This window comes from Homo sapiens, chromosome X (genome assembly GCF_000001405.40).
Source record: "Homo sapiens chromosome X, GRCh38.p14 Primary Assembly".
Taxonomy (NCBI): Eukaryota; Metazoa; Chordata; class Mammalia; order Primates; family Hominidae; genus Homo; species Homo sapiens.
Window position 1 is genome coordinate 17,087,711 of NC_000023.11, and position 26,307 is coordinate 17,114,017.

The window sequence follows — 26,307 nt, forward strand, 5'->3', positions numbered from 1 at the left end:
GATCACCTGAGGTCAGGGGTTCAAAACCAGCCTGGCCAACATGGAGAAACCCCATCTCTACTAAAAATACAAAAATTAGCCAGGCGTGGTGATGTGTGCCTCTAATCCCAGCTATTCGGGAGGCTTAGGCTTGAGCCTGGGAGGTGGAGGTTTCAGTGAGCCGAGATCGTGCCACTGCACTGCAGCCTGGGCAAGGACAGAGTGAGACTCTGTCGATAGATAGATAGATAGATAGATAGATAGATAGATAGATAGATAGATAGATAGATAAAGATACATAAGATAGATAGATAGAGGTAGAAGAGAGCCAGTTCCAAGATGATAGACTGTTTTTATAGATTGCCTTCCTCCTAACACACATTTGTATTCTCTCTCTCTCCCCCACCGCATTATTCAGCGCTAATGAAAGTGTGATGGAAACAGCTGCTAGTGAATGAATACTAACTAATCCTGAAAAAAAGATGTGTACTTCTTGAAATTTTAGTTTGATTTACCTGAAAACATATACAGAAACACAACTAGTGATTTCAACCAACCCTAGAGTTTTAATAGTAAAATGCTTAGGAGGAATGCATTTGTGTAAATGTAATATGAGAGAGGAAACCAGACACCCATCTTTGACCAAGATTGAATCTCATGCATTTTTGTCACTTAAGTCTGCCCATGTCTCCATCCAGGACCTAGTTAACCCTTATTGCGTATCCTATGGTACAGGAAAAATGAGTTATTAGTAAACATGGATAAATTTTAGAATCATGAAGTGTCAATGCTAAAAGAGAACTTGAATGTCATCTTGGCCAACTCTCACATATTACCAACAAGGAGACTAAGATCCAGGCAATATAATGGCTTTGTTCTCCATCAGAATCTTTCTTTCCTTTTTTTTTTTTTTTTTTAAGATGGAGTCTCTCTCTGTTGCCCAGGCTGGAGTGCAGTGGCGTGGTCTCGGCTCACTGCAAGCTCTGCAGGTTCACGCTGTTCTCCTGCCTCAGCCTCCCGAGTAGCTGGGACTACAGGTGCCCACCACCACGCCTGGCTAATTTTTTGTATTTTTAGTAGAGACGGGGTTTCACCATGTTAGCTAGGATGGTCTCAATCTCCTGACCTCGTGATCCACCTGCCTCGGCCTCCCAAAATGCTTGGATTACAGGTGTGAGCCACCACATCCTGCCCAGAATCTTTCGAAGTTGGGAAATCTTTGTTTAGATCTTTGTTGCAGCAGATTTGGTATCAAAGAAAGCTATCTACATTAAATTAATTTGGAGGGCACACCCTACTACTTTTCTACGGGCAATAACACTAATTAATATCTAAAGTTAAAGGATGTATTAAAGAATGAATATGGTAACCTTTGCAAGGCACTCTTCAATGTGTTTTTTTCTGTGTTTCCTTCTATGTGATTTAAAATGTTAGTAGATTTCTCTGAGGTACTTCAGGGAGATAGGAAAGGAGCTTTTGCCCTCATAGATACTTGGAAATAATATATCTATTTTCTTTTTTTAATTTCAAAAATGAAATTATTATTAAAAGCTCTAAATATAGCAAGAATATAAGACAAATAGTATACTGAACATCCAGCTTCAACAATTAATCAACTGTGTCCCATCTTGTTTCATATCTGTCTTCCCCCACATTATTAATTATACTTTTTTCTACCCTTAGCTTAAAAAAAACTTTATTGAGGTATATAGATCATAAAGTTTATCCATTTTAAGTGTAAAATTTAATGATTTCTAGTAAATTTATCAAATAGTGCAACTTTCACCATAATCCAGTTTTAGGTCATTTTCAGCACTCCAATAATACTGCACATACCTGTTTACAGTTAATCCCCATGCCCAGCCCCAGGCAACCACTAACCTATTTTGTGTTTCTGCAGATTTTCCTTTTCTGAATATTTCATATAACCGAATATACAATATGAGGTCTTTTCTGTCTGACTTTGTTTACTTAGCATGATGTTTTTGAGGTTCATTCATGTTGTATCATGTATCAGTACTTAATTCCTTTTTATTGCTGAATAGTATTCCATTATATAGCTATATCACATTTTGTTTATCCAGTCTTCAGTTTGACAGACATTTGAGTTGTTTCTGCTTTTTGTCTGTTATGAATAATGCTGCCATTAATATTTGAATACAAGTCTTTGTGTGAACATATGTTTCATTTCTCTTAGCTAGATATATAGGGGTGGAATTGCTGGGTATGTGGTAAATTTATGTTTAACTTTTTAAGAAATGGACAAATTGTTTTCTAAAGTATCTGCACCATTTTACATTCACATCAGAAATGTATGAGGGTTACTATTTCTTTATATCCTCACCCACACTTATTATTATCTTTTTGATTATCCTACATCCTAGTGTGTGTGAAGTGATATCTCACTGTGGTTTTGATTTGTATTCCCCTGATGATTAATGATGTTGAGCATCTTTTCATGTGCTTATTAGTTATTCCTGTATTTTATTTGATGAGATATTGTGTTAGTCTGTTTTCACGCTGCTGATAAAGACATACCCAAAACTGGGCAATTTACAAAAGAAAGGTTTAGTTGGACTTACAGTTCCACGTGGCCGGGGAAGCCTCACAATCATGGCAGAAGGCTAAAGGCATGTCTCACATGGTGGCAGACAGGAGAAGAGAGCTTGTACAGGGAAATTCCCATTTTTAAAACCATCAGATCTTGTGAGACCCATTCACTATCACGAGAACACCATGGGAAAGACCTGCCCCCATGGTTCAATCATCTCCCACTGGGTCCTTCCCACAACACATGGGAATTATGGGAGATACAAGATGAGATTTGGGTGGGGACACAGAGCCAAACCATGTCAGATGTCTACTCAAATCATGCTCATTAAAAAATTGGGTGTTTGTCTTATTGTTGAGTTGTATATTCTGTAATTCTTTATATATTCTGGATACAAATCCTTTATCGGATAGATGATTTGCAAATATTTTCCACAGTCTGTGACTTGTCTTTTTGTTTTCTTAATGATATGTTTTGAAGTACAGAAGTTTTGAGTTTTGACAAAGTGTAATGTTAAATTTTTTCCTTTTGGATTGTGCTTTTGATGTCATATCTGAGAAGTCTGCCTAACCCAAGGTCTTGAAGATTTTTTCTTGTTGTAAAATTTTTATAGTTTTAGCTCTTACGTTAAGATCTTGAATCCATTTTGATTTAATTTTTGTATAAGGTGTGAGGTAAGGATCTAAGTTAATCTCTTCGTATATGAATATCCAGTTATCCCAGCACTATTTGTCAAAAAATACTCTCCTTTTCCTGTTGCCTTGGCACCTTTGTTGAGAATCACTTGTCTGTTAAATATAAGGGCTTATTTTTGGACACTGCATTCTGTTCTGTTGATTTATATGTTTATTTTTATGCTAGCACTATACTGAATGTTTTTTAACACAGGGGAGTCATACATAATCTTGCAAAGAGGTAATCCCACGACTCAGAAGTCTTTAAGTATTTGCTACAATGGCATATTTTTTAGATAGTATATAGTAGCTTATTTACTTCATTTGTGGTTTGTAGCATGTTCAGAAGGATCCTTTGAGCTCCTTGAGGTTGCAGTACTTCTTTGCTTTGAAGCCTTCTGTCATGTTTATTCCCTGAATGTAGAATACCCTCTGTCTAGCTGTTTATCCTCCATCTCTGCATTTTTCTGCTCTACCTGCCCTGTAGGTTCAAAATGTGGTACTGATTACTGCTCGATAGTAGCCTTGTGTCCTTGGCAAGGTCATTTTATTTCTCCAGGTCTTAATTTTCTCATCTGTAAAGTGAAAGAATCAGATTTTATCTCACTACTTTTCTAAACTCTGTCGTTAATATTTTCCTTGTTGAACAGTTACAAGGATGTGTAAGTTAATCTCTTTTAACTGGTGAAAAAGTATATTCTGTTCCATAGAGAATTAAATGAGCTTGTATTTCGGGGGGTGGTGTGTGGTCATCAGGGGATAGAGGCAGGTATTTCTGGAAAGGTGTTCTTGGCAAACATTTTGTTACATACACTGGTGTATATGACATACATGTCCATCACTGTATGCTGGGTGATCAAGAGATATGTATAAGGTCATACATGCTTTTATGATTAGAAAGGAGAGAAAGAATGAACAATTTCTGTTACAAAGAAATAGCCATTTTTATGAACTTGCCAAGAAGAGGAATGGTCCTTACTGATGAAATCCTTAAAGCTTTGCATGTGGCTCTTTACTTGATTGATATTTAAAAGTATAGGTCCCACTGGGAGGCTCCTTTCAACATTTTCCATTCCTTGAGTGTTTTTCCCCCCTTTGGTATTCGAATGCTTTTATTTTCTTCACATAAAATATTCCTAGTTAGGGGGGATGGGAGCCCCTTTCCACAGCTGAAGTTATTCCAAGTTTTGTTCCCCCTGAAGAATCGGCTCTCTGTTCCTGAAGCTTTCAATGGCCACATCTGCTGCTTTATTTCCACTCAATAAGTTGGAATATATTTTCATTTAGTTATTGATTAGGGGCTATGTAAAAATCTGAAGGAAATTAGTAAATAGTAATGTTTATGAATAACATTTTACCTAGAAATTTCTAAGCGTAATGAAATAAGAGGATAAAAATTGTTAGAGGTTGGAGTTTTGGATGAAGGTACCAGGAAGCAGAGATCCAATAAATCAGTATCAGAATCTGCATGTCTTTCAATAAACTTAAGAAATTGTTTTAAACACTAGGAATTATTAGTCTGTCTTCTGAATTTAGGATTAAATGACAGTTTCTTTTCCTGAAGTTTTTAATGTGGTTTTCAGGATTGGGGTATTTATTATTTTCCTTTGGATTACACTTATAAAAATTTTTGGCTGGACAAAGCCTTGCTGATACCTAGTATCCCACTTTATTAACTATAACACTTGACGAATAAACCTGCAATTGCTTGACGAATATGGTCACTTTTTAAAGTATGTGGGAACAACATTCTTCTCTCGTCTTCTTGCCTTCTTTTCCCTCCCAGGAAAGCAGTTGTTACTATTAACAAGTATATTGTCATCTTTTGCAACTGCACACTAGATTATTCAGCTATTTTTTTTCTTTTTTTTTTCCTTTGCCTTCCACCATGCGATCAAAGTATTTTTTAAATTTCACTTTGCATGAAGGTGTACTTTTTCTTTTGACTGATTAGGGCATACTGGATAAAATATTTGGATCCAATTTTAAGTCAAGAGCAGACTGAAAATATTGTAAGAGAAGATTTTTAAAATTAAATTTAATTCCAATTTTCAACCACTGTGTGAGTACCTACTAAACATAAGGCAGTGTGTTTAGGTGCTGTGGGAGACAAAAAGATGAATTAGACAGAATTGATAGAATGTAGCTAGATTAATATCTCCCACCATTAAAGGAAAGGAACACAGAATTATAAATGCAAGGAAGAGATTTTTCAGCAGCAACCGAACAAGGAAAAATGCATGAGTTAATGCTATATATATATATATATATATATATATATATATAATTTTTTTTTTGGAAAGAGTGGCAACTGAGGGAAACCTGAGGCTTTGGGTGCACTTCTGACTCTGCCTGCTTCCTTGCAGAAGCTGTGTGTGTGAGTAGGCAAATCTTGAGAGTTCTCATCGAGACCCTAGGTCTAGAGCAAAGTGAAATGAATGAGTACTCGTAATTTTCCTTTTTCTTGACTAAGTGGAAATGACTTCAGGAAAGAGAGTTGGAAAAGTAAATAATCATAGCTGATATCCTGATATTGTAGAGGGGAAGGCCCAGAGCTTCATGCTGAACTGGGGACAAACTGAAGTCTGAGAAGTTCCTCCAAGGCCATTGATAGAACTCCAAGACTTAGGAGAATGCACTCTGCTGCAGGGTTTTAAAATGTTGATTATTTTGGTATTTCCTTCGTAATTCTAAATAGCATATTTGTGTAACTTCTTGTAGACTTCAATTTTTGCCATCATCTTCCCTCCCCCATTATCTTTCTCCTCCACCCTTCCAATATAGTTATATTATAATTTTGGTTAGATTAATATTTAGTGTTTATATTATTATTGTTATAGCCATGTAAGACATATAGTAAATTACTTTTTTTTTTTACTTGCACAGGTTTTTGTTTGCCTTGGAGTGAATAATCAACTTGTTTCTTTTCAAAGTACTTGCCCTTGATTCAACCACAGACGTCTTCAATTTTCCAGAGTTCCTCTTATGAAATTCTCACACCTCAGGTGTTCTGTCAGTTTCAGCTTTTTGAAGCAATAGAAACTGATTGTCTTCAATGCCTGGTACATAGTTTTCATCATGGGATCTCTCTACACTGTCATCCAAGGATTCCCTTCCTCTTTTTCCCATGTTGGATTTCTTTTATTACTGTATCCTGTGTCTTTCTCTTTCTTTGTTTACTTTCTTGTTTTGGTGAAGCACATCCTTCAGCAGCTTCCTTAGAAAGGGTGCATGGAGCTCAATTTGAGACCCTGAATGTCTAAAAATGTATTTAATTATATCATCATGCAGGCTGCTAGTCTTGGATATACAATCATCAGTTGGAAATAAGTTTTCTTTAGAATTTTGATGGAATTGTGCCAATGGATTCTAGCTTCTAATGATATATGAAGAAGTCTAAAACCATTTGGACATCTGATCCTTTGTATATGACTTGCTCTCTTCTCCTATGCCCTGCTGAAAACTTGTAAATTATTTTGACTCTAGTACTTTGAAATATCATGATATACCTTGTCATGAGTCTGTTTTCTTCCATTGTCCTGGATATTCAGTGAGTCCTTTAAATTTAGAAATTCATATTCTTCATTTCTGGGAAATTTTATTGAACCATTTAATTGATTATTTTTCCTGCTGTTTTCTCTGTTTCTCTTTGTGGATCTTTTATTTGGCTACTACCCTATTTTCTGGAAGATTTCCTCAGATTATTTTTGACCTTTCTATTCTCTTTCTGCTATCTTTTAATTTCCAAGTATTCTTTTTGTTTTGTTTTGTTTTCTGAATGTTCTTTGTAAATAGCATCCCATTATTTCATCTTAGCAAATAGCATTTCTTATGTCTTACTGAGACTTTCTCTGGTGACTCTAGTTAAAATTTCATCTGTCACTCTCTACCCCATTGTCTCTTTTCTCAGTAGAATATGAGCTTCATAAGGGTATAGCTTTTTTTTTCCCTGTTTTTCCCATGGATATTTTCCCAATACCTTGAACAATACCTCCCACATAGTTAGTGTTTAAATGTTTCTGGAATAAACTTAATGATCATTCTGATGATATTAATAATATATATTTTAACGTTTTCTCCTAGTAAAGGTCTAGTCTGTTTCTTTGAGGTCATTTCTTCCTGTTTTTATTGATCCCTACCTTAGGTTAGAACATTTTCTGCAGATATCTGGTAATACTTAGTCATCCACTTATATTTAATAATGAAGGATAAAAAGTTGCTTGGAATATATGAGCAAATTGATGGAAGTTGCCAGCTATTGGCTTCATGGTAGAATGGTCTGGCCAGGCCATCCTGTTGGAGATCCCTTGATATCAACTCTTTAGATGTCTCTTCCTGGCTGATCTGATTCTCTGGAACACATTCTCCTAATCTCTAGAAGGAAGCAGCAGTCTGGGAGCAGAAGGGAAGAAGGCTGGAAGAATCTCAGCATCCAAAGTGCATATTTTTACTGAATCTGTCTGTTTTCAGCATGGCCCTCATGCCTTCATCTGGGCCTGGTGCCTTCCCTGAAAAGAAAACTATATCTAGCATTTTGCTGGAGTGAGAAACATGCTGAAACTGTGCAGAATGTGGGAGAAAAAACTGCTCCTAAACTGCTTCAATCAGTCTTTTTTTTTTTTTTTAATGAGGATGGAACATAATCCTATAGATTTTAAGATAGTTTAAAGAACTATTTGTTGATCACTTACTGTATTTTGAGTTATCAGGTGAGACAGATATAAGGCATAGCTACTACAGCAGAGGGGACTGTAAGAGTAGGGCCCCTGAAGCCAAAAACAGCATGAAGAATAGCTAGAACCAGATCCTGAAGGGTCTTGTCAAAGTATGCCCTTTTCCTGAAGGGTAGGAAATAAATCCACTATTAGTTCATTGCTTTAGGTTTTTATTGCTTTCCTCATTTTACCCCTACATTCAGAGGTGTTTGATGCCACCAATTCCTGAGAACTGGGGGGCTTCTGTGGTACAAATTTGTTACTCCCTGCTTTCTCAGATCTGTCTAGTCAGCTATTAGTTGCTCATCTGTTTTCCCAGTTCCAAATTTAAACAAGAGCATTTAAACAGTTCTCTTCATTTTTGTGTTAATGAGTTAAGAGTGAGATTAGTTACATGTATTTGAACTGCTGTCTATACTCAAAAGTCTTTGGATAGGACATTTAATAAAACGTTGGGTCATACACAAGAAACAAGGAATTTTACACAGTATCAAGCCAAGATTTTAGTTTAAAGTGGTCCCAGGTTGATAGTACCCTCAGATTTCTGGCAGAAGCGATAGAGGGAAGAGGAATTCACTTTCCACATGCCTCAAAGTTTTCCTGTCGGTAAAGTTCCAAGGAATTTGAGTTTAGAGTCACAGGTTGCTAAGCACACTAGGAAATGAAGCACAATGAGCAAGAACAAACAGGAAATACAAAGCCCTCAGATACTGAAATTATATAAATATGTTGAAAGAAAAGAGGAAGAGGCCGGGCGCGGTGGCTCACGCCTGTAATCCCAGCACTTTGGGAGGCCGAGGCGGGCGGATCACGAGGTCAGGAGATCGAGACCATCCCGGCTAAAACGGTGAAACCCCGTCTCTACTAAAAATACAAAAAAATTAGCCGGGCGTAGTGGCGGGCGCCTGTCGTCCCAGCTACTTGGGAGGCTGAGGCAGGAGAATGGCGTGAACCCGGGAGGCGGAGCTTGCAGTGAGCCGAGATCCCGCCACTGCACTCCAGCCTGGGCGACAGAGCGAGACTCCGTCTCAAAAAAAAAAAAAAAAAAAAAAAGAAAAGAAAAGAGGAAGAAAATGAATGGCCAAGAAATTATAAAAATGAAAAAAACATTTTCAAAAAAGACCAAATAGAACTTCTAGAAAAGAACAATTCTGTAACATAAACTCGAAGACTGGATTTTGTTAGACATTAAGAACGACTAAAGAGGGAATTGGTTACTTGGACAGTAGATCGTAGAAAATTGTCTAGAACACAGTACAGTTAGAAAGCTCTTGAAGGAGAGGGGAGAGAAAAATGGTAGAAATACAACATTTAAAGAATCACTGAGAATTGACCAAAATTAATGGGTTGCTACATGGTTCAGAAATTCCAGTGAAGCTCAAGCAAGTGATAAAATGATGGTAGAGAAATACATGTGCAGACATAGGATAAAGTTTGATATTTCAGAGTACCCAAAACAAAGAGGAGATCTTAAAAGCAACCAGAGAGAAGATGGGCCATCTAACAAAAGAGTGATTTGACTGAGAGCTGGCTTCTTAATAGCAATAGTAGAAACCAGAAGGCAGTGGAATGTTACCGTCAATGTGCTGGGAGAAAATAGCTGTCAATTTAGAATTCTATACCCAATTAAATCCTCTTTCAAGAGGGGAAAAATGACTTTTCAATCAAATAAACTAAGTTTGCTACTAATAGACTTCTCAATTAAGGAAATTCTAAAAGACATACTTTAGACATCATAAAATAAACTGTAATGGAAATTAGGAAGCTTTTAGCACTGAGTGATAATATCACAAATAAAAACCTATGATATTCTACTAAAGAGGTACTTGGAAAAAATTTATAACCCTAAATGCTTACATTAGAAAATAAAAGCTACAAATTAGTGAACTAAGCAACCAATTTAAGATAGAAAAAGAACAAGATATGCCCAAAGAAAGTAAATGGAAGAAGATAAGCAGCATTAATAAAACAGAAAGCAAACATACAATACAGAGGCTCAAAAAAGTTAAAAGTTGGTTTTTTGAAAAGAGTAACAAAACTGACAAATGCCAGCTGAGATTAGTGAAGGAAAACTGGAGTATGAGGAATGGGAAAAGACAATTACACATGCAGAGATTAAAATAATAATAAGAGGGGGGTATGGACACCATTATGCTAATAAATTTGAAATTTTAGGCAATGAATAAATGCCTAGAAAAATATCATTTATCAGAATCGACTTAAGAATTAGAAAGTCTGAAAAGTCCTATAACAATTCAAGAAGCAGAATCATAGTTTAAAATCTTGTTTAAAGAAAACTCCGGGCTCAGGTGGCTCTCCTGGGAAAATTTTTATTTGATATTCAAGAAAAAATTTCCAATCTTATACAACCTATTTAAGAGTATAAACAGGGCATGGTAGGGGTTTGGGGGTGGTGCTCTCCACCTGAATGAAGCATAATAGAGGACCATATGAGAAAGGAAATCACTTGCAGGTCTCACTCATGAAGATAGTTGCAAAAATCCTAAACAAAATATCAGCTAACCAAATCTAGCAGATATAAAAAACTTACCAAGTTGAGATTATCCCAGGTCTGCAAGGGTGTTTTAATATTAGACAATCCAGAATGTAATTTACCACATTAACAAATTATAAGGAAAAAATAATACCATAATCTCAATGGCTAGAGTTACAGCTCTGATTAAAATCCAACAACAAATTATCCTGAAAAGAAGTCTCAAAATAAGGATAGGAATTTTCATAATAATCTATTTTTTTCAGGGATTATATATCTATAGTTTTATTAAGACAAAAACTGAGAGTGTGGTGTGAAGTTTACATTCAAACAAAGTTTTCAAAGAAATCTAACACATGCCTAAAAAGATTTTACAATGTAGCTCTAGATCCAAGTCTAGATAATATCAAGAACTGATGGATCTCATGACTCAAGACAGAGCATTTTGGGTATCAGTTACTTCTTAGGATTTGTTAAAAAATGGTTTTGTGTGTGTGTGTGTGTGTGTGTTTTAAAGTGAACCACTGCCCAGTATGAAAGTTTAATCTCCTGAGACCAAGGCTTTTGAAATCACTCAACTCTTGAGTCAATTCAGTGAAACTTGTGCTGTCAGTGACTGAACTCTGCCACCAATGGTTTCAGAGTTCAAAGCTCAAAAGAGAATGGCTCCAAAAGTTGTCCCAACTAAGAGCATGGGCCCTTTACTTCCCTCCTGTCTTATCTCCTCTACCACCCTCTTTCCCTTCCCCAACACCTCAGCCAGTGGCTAGGATGAACAAGCTGATATTTATAACTTTATTATTGGAAAAGAAAGGGTCTTCTAATTTCAGGAATTAGCACCTCTGAGGCAGAATGATCTGCTTGTACTGTATACTCTCCAATAAAAGACCTTCCTTCCTCAGTCAATTTCCATCTCCAAAATGGCAACTCTGGTAACTTATTAACTGGCTTAGTCCTTTGTGAGACTAAGTACATTAAGTTTAGGCAGGGAACACCATGGCTTATAGATTTCAGACATTCACAGCTTTTAAAGTCTCTCACAGTCCGTATTTATGGTGCCAGTGACATTTTTTTCAAAGGTAAAATATTCTGGACATAGAAGCAAATCATTAGTTTTCTGTTCTTTGCATTGCTTCACCATGTCCCCTATCAGGCCCCAAATTTTAATCAAAATGATGCTACCCATCTCCCTTTCCACCCTCCCCATTCCTCCCTCTCCCACATAATACACCAGTAATAGCCAAAAACTACACATTTGCTACGCTGTAAAAATGTAGAGTTAACACTATTGGGAAGAAAGTTGTGCGTTGCGGAGATGCTCTTTGATTATCTACAGTATTTTTTTGCTCTCCCACACACCCAGTTCTGCAAGTTTTGTCCTTCATAAAGGGCCCTTTGCTTTTTCTCAGCAAAGTGCAGAAAAGGTTGCCTTGAAGCACTTATCCCCCTTCCCCTCCACTGGGACGGGTGTGCAAACTATACAGCTTGGAATGGCTTTAAAACACTTGGGCTGCTGCAGGGCACAGAAACGATACTGGCTCTTCAAAGGGCATCTTCTCAAGCTACCTCTATGGTGTCAAGACAAGTAGAACTTCTTTCCTTCCCACCTGAAACCCACAGTCAGATGTGATAGAGGCTGGTACTCAGGAGAGTTAATTCTTGTCATCATCCTCTTTGGGGTAGGAATGCCACGTCAGCCTTTCCTCATAGAAGGATATGACAACCCGTGGGCATTTGACATTGACTTCCTTGGCAGGGACGAGGTCAGCCTCATCAGAATTTTTCCCTTTCATCAGGAACATGAGCTCTCCACTGGAGTCTGTAGCTCCAATAATCTGCTCCGGCTCCAAACCCTGAGCAAAGCCTCGTGGCTTTTCTGACTCTTCTTTCTTCTTCTTTGGTTTGCTCTCCTCTCCCTTATCTTCAGAATCAGAATCAGCTTTGTGCTTGCCTCCCTCTGATTTGTCTATCTCATGTGCTGTTTTCTGTGACGGCAGAAACTCATGAGGTCAGGGCAATCCAAGTTCTCTTCTGACTCCCATGTGTTGTCCTCATCTGAGAATCCCTTCCACTTTAGGAGGTACTCCACTTTGCCCTTTACCAATCGACGGTAGAGAACTTTTTCCACCACATATTCCTGTTCCTCCTCTTCTAGCACCTCCTCCACTTTCTTCTTGTTTTGTTTTTTCTCCATAGCGTGTGTGTAAAGGGTGATGCTGCTCAGAGCAGTGCCCAGGAGCCGGAAAGGAATCGGTGCTGCGCTATTGGCGCATTGGGTCGGCCAGGGCAGTGGCGCTCAGAAAAGCAGCAAGGGTAGCTGCAAAGGAGCCCCTTGCTGAAATGGTGTACCGCAGGCCTCGGCTAATGGCCCTCCTCTCAGCCGAACAAAAGAGCCCTGCACTCTGTGCTGCCCACTGCCCACTGCCTGCACCGCCTTCATAATCTATTAAAGGGTATCTACAACATACCTACAGCAAACACCAACACCATACCTTATGGTGAGCTAGTAAATGCTCCCCTTTGAGATCAAGAGAAGACAAGAATGCCCATTATCACCATTTAAATTCAACTTTTACAGTAGATAATTCTAACTAGGTAAGACTGGAAAAATAAAAAACGTGGCAAAGGTACTGAAAAGAGGAAACAAAGCTGCTCTTAGTATTTGTTTAATATGGTTGGGCACAGTGGCTCATACCTGTAATCCCAACACTTTAGGAGGCCGAGGTGGGAGGATTGCTTGAGCCCAGGAGTTTGAGACTGCAGTGTTAATGATCATGCCACTGCACTCCAGCCTGGGCAACAGAGTGATATCCTGTCAAGTATAATATTTTTGATATAAATGTGGGGGCTTCCCCCCAAAAAATGCTCTCAGAATTTAATGAGGAAAATAACCTATGCCAACTCTTGTTTTTTTTTCTTTTTCTTTTTCTTTCTTTTTTTTTTTTTTTGAGATGGAGTCTGGCTCTGTCACCCAGGCTGGAGTGCAGTGGTGTGATCTCGGCTCACTGAAAGCTCCACCTCTCGGGTTCACGCCATTCTCCTGCCTCAGCCTCCCAAATAGCTGGGACTACAGGCGCCCGCCACCATGCCTGGCTAATTTTTTTTTGTTTTTGTATTTTTAGTAGAGATGGGGTTTCACTGTGTTAGCCAGGATGGTCTCGATCTCCTGACCTCATGATCTGCCCGCCTTGGCCTCCCAAAGTGCTGGGATTACAAGCGTGAGCCATCGCGCCAGGCCTCTATGCCAACTCTTACAATGAGAGATTCAGAATGAACAACGGACACATACCTGTGATACTGTTTTGTTGCTTGAAGCTCAATTGTGAGAAATTAAAACAATTCCATATTAAATGGCCTCAGTCTTTTACCCTATTTCTTCTTCATATTTGGGGCAATTTCTGATAAACCACAATAAATGATGTTGTAGGTGACATGCTTTTATCTAAAAGTGTATTCAGAAATAGACCCACACATCATCTTTTACAAGAGCAGGGCATTTGTCTTTAAAAAAAATTAAATCATACAAAAGAACTTAATGAGATCCGAATCAGGATCTAAATACTGTTTCTAATAACTCTCAAGGCAGTGAGTAGGGACAGTCAGCCACAGGGCTCACCTGGTTGGTTCCTCTCTCTCAGGGGTCACTGTCTTTTGTTGCCTGATTTTCTAGTGCCTTGAAAACTGTTGTTTCATATTTTTTTTTCTATGTGTTTTTGGTTGTTTTAAATGGGTGGGTAAATCTCTCTGTTACTTCATCTTGGCTGGAAGCACAAGTCAATTTAATTAAATGGCTCATCATTTCTTGTATAGTCCTCTTTTTTGTTAATAAGGAGTTGTTTTAACACACGTTAATACAATTGCTTGGCCTTTCCCTTAAAGTTTGCGTAGATTTATTTTATTTTATTTTATGTTATGTTATGTTATGTTATGTTATGTTATGTTATGTTATGTTATGTTATTTTATTTTATTTATGAATGAGACAGGGTCTCACTCTGTTGCCTAGGCTGGAGTGCAGTGGCACAATCATGGCTCACGGAAGCCTCAACTCCTGGGTTCAAGTGATCCTTCCGTCTCAGCCTCCCAAGTAGCTGGGACTACAGGTGTGCACTACCACGCCTGGCTAGTTTTTGTATTTTTTGTAGATAAGGGGTTTATCCATGTTGCCTATGCCAGTCTCAAACTCCTGAGCTCAAGGGATCCGCCTACCTTGGCCTCCCAAAGTGCTAGGACTACAGCATGAGGCACCATGCCTGGCTTGTTTCATTTGTTTTGAAAGTAACTGTTAATTTTAAAGGTCCAATCTGTGAGGATCTAAAGAGTAGGAGCCCTGAGATGAATAATTCCTGAAGGCTTTCAGCATTCTCTCCTGCTGTGTGCTTTGTTATTGACAGCTGTTCAAGGTCTCACCACCTCTGGAGTTTTAACCCACCGATGTGTTTCATAAATTTTAATGAAAGACAGATAGAGAGAAATCATAGATAGGCCAACATGATTGTACCATATCCATGCACTGGCTCAAAATGAAAATCTCTGTGATATTACCCTGAGTTACATTTGTGGAACACACCAAACTCCGTCTTCTAGCTTGTCTGATCCAGCTAGCTAAGGGAAATCAAAAGTAATTTGCAAAATCTTTTATGTTCTTTTATGTTCTTGGTACATTGCTCTGATTTATTTTTTAAGGCACAGAAAATTGTCCAAATGCATAGTACAAATTTGCAAATAAACTACATATAGTTATTTGGACGATGGTGTTTTTCTAAGGAGTTTTGTAAAGAATGTGGTTTAACTTGCCAGTGTGTAATGCTAAACTTATTTCTTGTGTGTTATTATGAACTTTATTTATAATTTCATAGCAGCTGTTTATTTTCATTGCTAAGGTACAATTCAGATGTTCTTGGCTTAACTCAGTATTCTCTATCTCACAAAATTTAAAATTAGACTGATACTTTGTAAAGATTCTTCAGATGTGGCCAGATTATTTTAGGAACAGCTTTAGTTATCCCTGATAATAAATATTAGGGAGAGAAAAAGAAATTGAGGTCTTTGAAGAATCCCTAAATATCATTTCAGTCTATCACTGTCAGCCTCCCTCACTGCTTTCAGATCCATTCCCAGGAGCATTTACAGGGTGGCCAAGCTTCCTCATTTGGGTTCCAGCTCTCTTAGTTTCTGTAGCCTACTCATTGAGCTAATGAGCAGTGTAGTGGCTGAGAGCTAGGGAGAAATATGAGAGAAATCAAAGAAGACCCTTTCTGACTTTTGCCCTAGATTGTTTGAAACGAAATAACATTAGAATAATGAGGAATTGACCACCTTTCCCTTGCTGCGTTTTAGGTGTCTTTTCTGTACCATTTTATTATGTCGTCTTAATCATAACAGCCTACATAAATACTTGAGTTTGGGTTAGGATGACAATGAAAAAGGGATTAGAAATAACGTGTACTCTTTTTTCTTAAGCCTTCAGAAGGACTGTAAAAACTTAAAGATGTTAAATGCAAATGCCATTGCCATTCCAAGTTAACAAGCATAAGAGTTTTTTGTTGTTTATTTTTGGGGGGTGATCCTTAATAGTATGTGTTTTTCTTTTCAGCTACCAAGTCAGGATTGTTACCCCCACCACCTGCGCTCCCTCCAAGACCTTGTCCATCACAGGTAGGAGACATATTTGATTTATGTAAACTGTTCGGTGGTAGGGAAGTTGTCCTATCGCTGTGCTTCTTTGCAAGGGTTGATCGCCACAGATCTGGTCCATGAGATTCCCAAGCTGATACCCTGTGAAGAGAGCAGAGAGTGGTTTAATTTATTCTCATCCAGCCAGCTCCCCAGCCTCATGTGGAAGAGAGAAAGTTTCCTCAATAAGCCACCAAGCATACATATACTAGTTCACTCTTGGCTGTCCAGGGGTGCGTCTGTTTTCATCCCCAGAGAAGGGTAGAAGAAGGGGCCTCTCTCTAATTGGAGGTGGAGACATGGTTTTTCTGTATAGTATGTGCAATCTGGGTGCCTATATTTTCGTCAGTACTTTAGGAGCTATGTTAATTCTACATAAATGAAAAATAAATGGTTATCAACATGGGGTTAGTGCCGTGGTTTTGGCCTATGGTGCTTTCTGTAGGATGGTATTTTTCCTCAGAACAAAAAGCTGAGATAGCAGGAGGGGGAGAACATGTCACCAAGATCTGTTTCACCCCTAAATTAATTCTGCCTTATTTACATGTGCCACTATGGCCTTATTCATCAACACTTTGCAGAGCTGAAAATGAGAAGCAAACAGTGGAGTGTGGTATATGGTGCTACAGATCTTTCCTTTTGTTAATTGCTGCTGAAGAAACTTTCTATCTTTAAAGACCCTTTCTGATTTTTGGCAGAAAATTTTGGGAAATTTCTCTGTACACAGTCCCTGTTTCTACTTCATTGTTCTGGGTGGTTCAGAGCTATCCTTCCATACGGGGACATCTCAGGACTCATGAGTCACTGAAACCACTTTTAACACATGCTTGTCCTTCTTTCAGTGAATGAAATGGTTTTTAGCATCCACTCAACCTTGAGATGCAAATACTATGAGATATTGGCTTCCTGCTTTAGTGCGAAGGGTAATAAAAAGCCCATTTCTTCCTGACCTGCATATAAACCAGCGAGAACTCCTTTCCAGGATGTAACATTGGCCTTAAGAGATATTGGTTGAACCGTCAACAAGTATTTATTGAGTCCCTGCTGTATATCTAATGCCAAACCTTAGTTTTGCCCTAAGCCTTTCATTGGCTGTAATTTCTTCTCATTCAAATTATTAGCTGTGTCTGTTGAGCATCTCCAATAAATCAGGCATTGTGCTAAGTGCTTTCAGTGCATTATTTAATCCTCACAAAACCCCTCTGAGGTAGATACAGGTACTAATATTATCCCTTTTTTTTTTTTAACAGATAAGGAAGTTGAAGTATATGGGGGCTAAGCAAGTTACCCAAGGTGGCATAGCTAGTAAATAGTAGAGCCAGCTCCCAAATTGCAATCTGTCTCCTAAAGGCTCCTCCTGTCACCATCACTGGAGTCTGAGTGTCTATGTGTACAGCCAGACAGCAGATCCATTACACTTGCAATGGAGGCTTTCATCACAGGCCCCTAAGGAGGACCTTGATGAGATGAGGCTCCTGCTCCACACCAACAGCAAACCTGGACTTGGTCACAACAAAATGAGCAGGCATTTGCTAGCTGCTAGTTCAAGCCTGGGGCTTGAGAGCCACCTGGTTGAATGCATGGAAGACCTGTCTGAATTGACTTTTGTAACCAACCTTCTAGCTTTCTCTTCCTGCACAAATGCCAGTAGTTACTACCCGGTCCCAAAATATGCTGCTGCTATCAGCAGTCTTCATCTGAGCTGCTTGAGGTGGGCTTCTTGCCTGCTTTTGGAGCTTAGTCACCAAAGATCTGACTGGGGGATCTGGGAATTCTCTAGTCACTGTTAATGAATGAGTCTGCTTCTTTGTCTACCAGATTTCCCATCACAATATAAACAGTGAGCCCAGTACTCAGCCTATCAGCTGCCTAACTATGGAGATTTCAGATTTCAGGAACAGGTGTGTAAGAAATGGAGGCAGAAGATCCACATTCCATTTCTCTCCCCTATTCCCTCCTTTCACCCACTGTAAGTGGGACACACATATTCAGATATATGAAGTCCTGGGCAATAAACACATGGTTATATTTAGTTTTTGTGCCATGTCAAGTTGGTATTGACCCTATGAGCGTCTTACTAACCACTTTGTATGGGACACCTATATATTCTAGTCTTTCCCAAACTGCTTGTGATAAAACAGTCTCTGGGAGATATTAATAGGGCTCTGTGGTACAGATTTGCAGACTGCTGCCCCTCTACCCCTCTGGGAGAGTCGCTGTGCAAGTGAGCTCACTAAAGGCTTTGGAGGCCTACAGTAAGTAAAGCTAGTAAATTTTGTTAAAGCCAGCAATTTCCTAGCTTCTGTGACCATTGATATCTTTATTTATAAAATACCTGTTAGGATACAAAATCAGTGTGCAAAAAGCACAAGCATTCCTTTACACCAAGAATAGGCAAGCAGAGAGCCAAATCATGAATGAACTCCCATTCACAATCACTACAAAGAGAATAAAATACTTAGAATACAGCTAACAAGGGATGTGAAGGACCTCTTCAGGGAGAACTACAAACCACTGCTAAAGGAAATTAGAGAGGACACAAACAAATGGAAAAACATTCCATCCTTATGGATAGGAAGAATCAATATCGTGAAAATGGCCATACTGCCTGAAGTAACTTTTTTTTTTTTTTTTGAGACGGAGTGTCGCACTATCGCCCAGGCTGGAGTGCAGTGGGGTGATCTCAGCTCACTGCAAGCTCTGCCTCCCGGGTGCACGCCATTCTCCTGTCTCAGCCTCCCGAGTAGCTGGGACTACAGGTGCCTGCCACCACGCCCGGTTAATTTTCTGTATTTTTTAGTAGAGACGGGATTTAACTGTGTTAGCCGGGATGATCTCGATCTCCTGACCTCGTGATCCACCTGCCTCGGCCTTCCAAAGTGCTGGGATTACAGGCATGAGCCACCATGCCCGGCTGCCCAAAGTAATTTATAGATTCAATGATATTCCCATCAAACTACCATTGACATTCTTCACAGAATTAGAAAAAACTGTTTTCAATTTCATATGGAATCAAAGAAGACCCCATATAACCAAGACAATCCTAAGCCAAAAGAACAAAGCTGGAGGCATCATGCTACCTGACTTCAAACTATACTACAAGGCTACAGTAACCAAAAGAGCATGGTACTGGTATCAAAATAGACATATAGACTAGTGGAGCATAACAGAGACCTCAGAAATAACACCACACATCTACAACCATCTGATCTTTGACAAACCTGACAAAAACAAGCAATGGGGAAAGGATCAAAGGTCAAAATAAAGGGCTCTATTTTAAAGTGAAATCAGGTTCTGATAAATTTATCATTTGCCCTAGATAACATTGTTTTAAGTTTATCAAGGTTGAATATTCAAGTGGAATGCTTGTTTTGTGTAATGTATTTTTCCTTTGTTAACTTTGGCAGTACCTTTTACTGTATGTTCCCTAGTTATAGAATCGGTTCATAGATTGCTCAGAGCTACTCATATCTCTGGATTCATGTATTATGAAGAAACAATTCTGTTTCAGACCAGCTTGTGTTGATTGAATCTCAAGTTTTGGAAGTTCTCTTGTGAGGATTTCTTAAATTTGAAAACTACTATTCTCAAGTAGTTAGGGACCATAGGCACACACTACCAAACCTGGCTTTCCAGGTTTTAAGTATGTAAGAAAAATGAGTTTGTACATTTGCAATATGCATACAGAGATATATAAAGATTGTTTCTACATACACCAAAAGCATATATTCTTTTATCAAATGAGAGAGATGAAGTATAGGTTTTCAGCATAACATGCAGTTTAGCTGGCTCATACTTATTCAAGCACCACTGTGATATGAACATCTGGATTAAGTTATACAAATGGGGCCCTGGAGTTAGGAAAAGGAATAAGTTAAAAGAAACATCTTTTTATTTTTCATACTATAGGTAAGATCAAGAAGAACCTAGTGACTATATACAAAATTAAGTAGTTTGTGTTTCACATTTTCCTGTGGCAAGACTAGAGACTAGGGCATGGTCTTTTGGCTCAGCTCAGAAGAGGTGACTTTTTTTTGAAAAAAGACTTATTTATAGCATAAATAACCAAAAAGCAATTAAAGTAAACTATTTCATATAGAGCAGTGCATTCTTTTGTTTGTTTTTGTTTTGTTTTCTTAAGACGGTCTCGCTGTGTCACCCAGACTGGAGTGCAGTGGCATGTTCAGGGCTTACTGCAGCCTTGACCTCCCAGGCTCAAGTGATCTTCCCACCTCAGCCTAAAGTGTTGGGGATTACAGGCGTGTGCTACTGTGCCCGGCCTAGAGCAGTGTTAAAGTGAGAGTTAAATGTATTAGCCCACTGTTTGTATCATTTTAATAAATCCAGTAAATTGCCATCTGTAGAGTTTGTGTTTATTCTTTTTTTTTTTTTTGAGATGGAGTTTCGCTCTTGTTGCCCAGGCTGGAGTGCAATGGCGCGATCTTGGCTCACCGCAACCTCCACCTCCCCGGTTCAAGCGATTCTCCTGCCTCAGCCTTCCGAGTAGCTGGGATAACAGGCATGCACCACCACGCCCGGCTAATTCTGTATTTTTAGTAGAGATGGGGGTTTCACCATGTTGGCCAGGCTGGTCTCGAACTCCTGACCTCGTGATCTGCCCACTTCAGCCTCCCAAAGTGCTGGGATTACAGGCATGAGCCACCGTGCCCGGCGAGTTTGTGTTTATTCTGTAGGTCAGTTCTCTGCCAAGGGACTGTTTGGTACTTCAGTAGCTAAGTCCTTTTAATAGTGTTGATCTCATGACAGTTTTCTTATGGCAATTGTGATAGAGCCACAGCTTCAGTGTAACTATAATAAAGAAAAGATTTTGGGGGTGCAAGACATTATCTTTTAAGTTTTCTATTAGCACCACATTTGATAAATTGGGGTTCCCTGCAGACTAATGTGCTCAGAATTTTCCTATTTCTGCCACTAATTTCTCACCTTATATGTAACAAAGTTTTCCTCACTAGCAATGTAATGAGTACTAAAAATAGCACTGGAAGGTGAAAGCACTGTGGGAGAAGCATTTGATGAATACCTTTAAGCTTAGAGAGACCAAGAAGACTCATGGAAGGGGTGAGATGACCAATGAAATTAGTTTTAAAGAAACAACAGAACTTTTTTTTTTTTTTTAGCTGGCTAAAAGATACAGAGCTTTACTGCAGATTTAAAAAAAAAAAAAAAACCCAAATGCAGAGAAACAGGCTTGCAAGAGGTCCTGGTATGTTTGAGGAGCTGCCTGAGATTTGGAAAGCCAGATTGTAGGGAAAATGGCTGTAGTGTTCTGGAAGTGGCCATGGGGAGCAAGCCTCCTGCTCACTTCCAGTTCCAGTTCTGGTAGGGATGTGGGAGAGAAACAGCCCCTACCAAAGGAGTTCTGTCTGGGGAGCAGAAACTGACGGGAGGACAGGGTTTTAGCCTAGTGGTTCTCACCCTTGGCTGCACAGTGGAATCATCTGGGGGAGCTTTGAACGTGCTGAGGCCTGGAGCCCCTCCCAGAGATTTTGGCATGGGGTGCTGAGGTCCGGCCACTGGGAGGTTTAAAAACCTCTCCAGGTGATTCTGAAGTGCAGCCAGAGTTGAGAAGCACTGAATTAGGGCAAGAGGAAGGAATGCTCAGAGAAGAGGTTGAGAATATAGGGAATTTTATTGATGAGTTCTTATAGGGCACAATGAAAGGGGTTCTGGAGTTGGGGAGGCATGAGGTCAGCTTAGGGGATGTACTCAGACCCTATGGGGACAAGAACTCAGATCACAAGGGGCCTGGGAGTCAAGGGATTCTTGTGGTGACTGATGTGAACAGGGCTAGAGGATGTGACAGGAAGGTCCTGCTGGAAGAACTAGTCACTGTGTGCCTCAGGTCCTGTGTGTACTACTGTGAGAGGCTAGCCATGAACACAGATGGCCTCAAGAGGAAACCAGAACAACTGTGGTCCATTGAGTTAATTCTTCATCTAACTTCATAATCTGGCTAGAATCAGGTCCTGAAAGTGATATTGAACCCAATAGGAATATGGCAGTCATGCTACTCTTTTTCAAAGACTAATTTTTTAGACACAACTTTTTATAAAATACTACATTTGTTTTATTTGGAAGTAAAAACTGCAGCTCACTTAAACTTAAATGGCAGTTCGTAGGCCCTGAATTTGTGAAATATTCAACACCATTTTAAATACTCTATCCTTTTAATTAATATCCTGTCATTTAAATTATTCTTTCCACAAGTTAATACACAGTTGGTGATTCAAAATAGTAAATTCTTCTGGGAGAAATTAAGAGTTTTAGACCACACATACTTTTTTGGGGCAGGGGAAGGAATTCCTGGTGATTATGTAAGTCTCTTACAGGGCTATCTAATCCATTTTTAAGTGTTAATTTTATTAAAGCATAACATACATACTGAATCTATTTTTAATACATACTAAATCAATTTTTAAGATAGTAAAATGAAGTATAGGTTGAGTACCCTTTGTCTGAAGTGCTTGGGACCAGAAGTGGTTTAGATTTCACTTTTTTTTTTTTTTTTTTGGGAATATCTACGTTACACTTACCTAGTTGACCATCTCAAATCTGAAAATCCAAAATCCTAAATGCTCCAGTGAGCATTTCCTTTGAGTGTCATGTTGGTACTCAAAAAGTTTTGGGAGGCCGAGGTGGGTGGATCACCTGAGGTCAGAAGTTCGAGACCAGCCTGGCCAACATGGTGAAACCTCATCTCTACTCAAAAAAAAAAAAACAAAAATTAGCCGGGCGGGGTGGCAGGCGCCTGTAGTCCCAGCTACTCAGGAGGCTGAGGCAGGAGAATCTCTTGAACCTGCAAGGCGGAGGTTGCAGTGAGCCAAGACCACGACATTGCACTCCAGCCTGGGCAACAAGAGTGAAACTCTGTCTCAAACAAACAAACAAACAAACAAACAATAAAAAAAGAAGAGGCCAGGCTTAGTGGCTCACGCCTGTAATCCCAACACTTTGGGAGGCTGAAGTGGGCAGATCACCTAAGGTCAGGAGTTCGAGACCAGCCTGACCAACATGGTGAAACCCCATCTCTACTAAAAATACAAAAATTAGCCTGGCGTGATGGTACGTGCCTGTAATCCCAGCTACTCGGGAGGCTGAGGCAGGAGAATTGCTTGAACCCAGGAGGTTGAGGTTGCAGGGAGCCGAGATTGAGCCACTGCACTCCAGCGTGGGTGACAGAGCAAGACTCTGTCTCAACAACAACAACAGAAGTTTTGGGTTTTGGAGCATTTTGGATTTTGTATTTTCGGATTTTGGATACTTAACCTGTATTATATTGTTGTCAGCTTTCAAATATCTATAAGAAAATAGCAAGAAACATTATTTAATGTGAACAATAGAGAAATGTCACTGCTTTTAAAATTGCATGTTTTTTTTATCAAATTAAAACTCCGTGAATAAACACCAAACATCATGAAATCTCTTGCTGTAATATATTCAAATGACCTCATGTAATATATAAGTCATTGAATCACCTTAAGATACTGCCTGTTAAAGCATATTTATGAACTTTCAAAGGTATATACAACATCCTAATTTTTACTCATCAAAATACGAATTTAATATGTATCAAGATAGTTTCTATTCATGCATGTATTAGAAAATCAGAAATTATTCCAAAGTGAATTTATAAACGTATATCACTTAAGATGCCACCTTCATTTTCTTCCAAAGTGTTACTTTGTTCTGTCCTACAGTGTATGCTGTAGATTAGCTGAAAATCACAACATGTTAATGAGTATTTCAGTGATTAAGGAAAGAAGATATAAACCAAGGCTGTACCTTCATTTGTGATGATGAAAGAACATACTGAAAGCTGTACCACACTGTGCTGAATGTAGTAATATGAATGTGTCTGTCTGTGGTCTTATCCTTAGTCCTGCTACTGTGTAGCTCTCTGGCTTTGTGGGAATTAAGTAAGTTAGTCTCATGGACCTATCGCCCCTTCTATAAAGTAAGAAGATTGGACTAGAGGGATCCTACTAGTGCTAAGATGTCTGATTCTATTTTGTATTCTCTGTTCAAGAATTTTTTTTGTAATATAGATAAAACTTCATGAAACACAGTTGAGGGACAAGATAGGTTGGACTAATTTTCTCTGCTCCTCCCTGCTAAGTACAACTAAAACCCCCAGAAATACTATAATGGAAAGAGGATTTTTTTTTTTTGAGACAGGGTCTCGCTCTGTTGTCCAGGCTGGAGTGCAGTGGTGTGATCATGGCTTACTGCACCCTCAACCTCCTGGGCTGAAGGGACTCAGCCTCCTGGGTAGCTGGGACTATAGGTCCTTGCTGCCACACCGAGCTAATGTTTTTATTTTTTGTAGAGACAGGGTCTTCCTATATTGCCCAGGCTGGTCTCAAATTCCTGAGCTCAAGTAATCCTCCCACCTCAGCCTCCCAAAGCCTTGGGATTACAGGTGTGAGCCATCATGCCTGGCCAGAACAGACTTTGAAAGGTTTAAAGAGGAAAGAGGACTGGCATGACAGTGAACTAGAGACTTCAAGTAGACAGAAGACCAATAAGGAAATAGAAAGCTTGAACAATACCATGGTTCAACTTGATATAACATAACTATAGAACACCCAGCATCAGCACAATAGACATTTTTCTCAAGTGCACTTGGAATATTCTTCAGGATAGACCATATGTTAGGCCACAAAACAAGTCTCAATAAATTTCAAAAGATTGAAATTATATTAAACATCTTCTCTGATGTCAATGGAATGAAACTAGAAATCAATAACAGAAGTAAAATGGAAGATTCACTAATATGTAGAAATTAACATACTCTTAAAAACACAAAGAAGAAATTATAAGTGAAATTAGAAAATACCTTGAGATGAGCGAAAACAAAATCATATCAAAACCTATGGGATGCAGTGATAGCAGTACTCGGCGGGAAAGTTTTAGCTATAAACACTTAACATTAAAAAAGAAGAGATCCAAAATCAACAGTTAGCTTTACACCTTAAGAAACTGGAAGAAGGCTGGGCACAGTGGCTCACGCCTGTAATCCCAGCACTTTGGGAAACCAAGACGGGTGGATCACGAGGTCAGGAGATCAAGACCATCCTGGCTAACACGGGAAACTCCGTCTCTACTAAAAATACAAAAAAAATGTTATTCTGGGCATGGTGGCGGGCGCCTGTAGTCCCAGTTACTCGGGAGGCTGAGGCAGGAGAATGGTGTGAACCCAGGAGGCGGAGCTTGCAGTGAGCCAAGATTGCACCACTGCACTCCAGCCCGGGCGACAGAGCAAGACTCTGTCTCAAAAAAAAAAAAAAAAAAAAAAAAAGAAACTGGAAGAAAAAGAGCACACTAGATCCAAAGCTAGCAGGACAGAAATAATAAAGAGTAGAGTGGAGATAAACAAAATAGAGAACAGAAAAACAACAGAGAAAATAGTTGAAAAGTTGATTTTTTGCAAAGATCAACGAAATTGACAAAACTTTAGCTAGACTGACCAAGAGTATAATTAAGCATGTGTTAACCTCTGGTCAAAATAAAGGGCTCTATTTTAAAGTGAAATCAGGTTCTGATAAATTTATCATTTGCCCTAGATAACATTGTTTTAAATTTATCGAGGTTGAATATTCAAGTGGAATGCTTGTTTTGTGTAATGTATTTTTCCTTTGTTAACTTTGGCAGTACCTTTTACTGTATGTTCCCTAGTTGTAGAATCGGTTCATAGATTGCTCAGAGCTACTCATATCTCTAGATTCATGTATCATGAAGAAACAATTCTGTTTCGGACCAACCTGTGTTGATTGAATCTCAAGAGTTTTGGAAGTTCTCTTATGAGGATTTCTTAAATTTGAAAACTATTCTCAAATAGTTCGCACTGAATGACAAATTCAAAAGGCAAAGGAAATGGCCATAGTGATAAGTGCAAGGAGAAGAGAGGGTGAGAATTAGTAATGAAATACCAGCATTGGAATGGAGGAGAAAAGTGTAAGCCTGTCCCCCTTCCTTCTTTTTGAAAGAAGTACTCAGCATTTTGCTCTTTATCAATAAGTGTCTTTAGAATTAATCCTAGTAACTAATTCAAAAGAAAGGAAAAGTTCTATGATGACATTTATTTTAGTATTATAAAAATAAGAACAATACAGACCACCTTAATATCTAGGAAGAAGGCACTGGTCAAGGGTAATGTATATCTGCCTGATTAGAATATTAGGCATCTATTAAAATGATTA

The 26,307-nt window shown here is 38.9% G+C and overlaps 1 protein-coding gene and 1 pseudogene across 17 annotated transcripts in view; one reads left to right on the forward strand and one right to left on the reverse strand.

The window, feature by feature from the left end:
* REPS2 (RALBP1 associated Eps domain containing 2) overlaps nucleotides 1-26,307 on the forward strand; it is a 249,998-nt gene that overhangs the window by 141,053 nt on the left and 82,638 nt on the right. For all 17 annotated transcript variants that reach the window (XM_017029956.3, XM_011545603.3, XM_011545606.3 and 14 more), the window contains one exon: nucleotides 16,008-16,069. In XM_017029956.3, the coding sequence (XP_016885445.1) occupies nucleotides 16,008-16,069 (62 nt within the window). The remainder of the gene's footprint in view (nucleotides 1-16,007; nucleotides 16,070-26,307) is intronic.
* Nucleotides 10,683-12,831, reverse strand: CBX1P2 (chromobox 1 pseudogene 2; annotated as a pseudogene).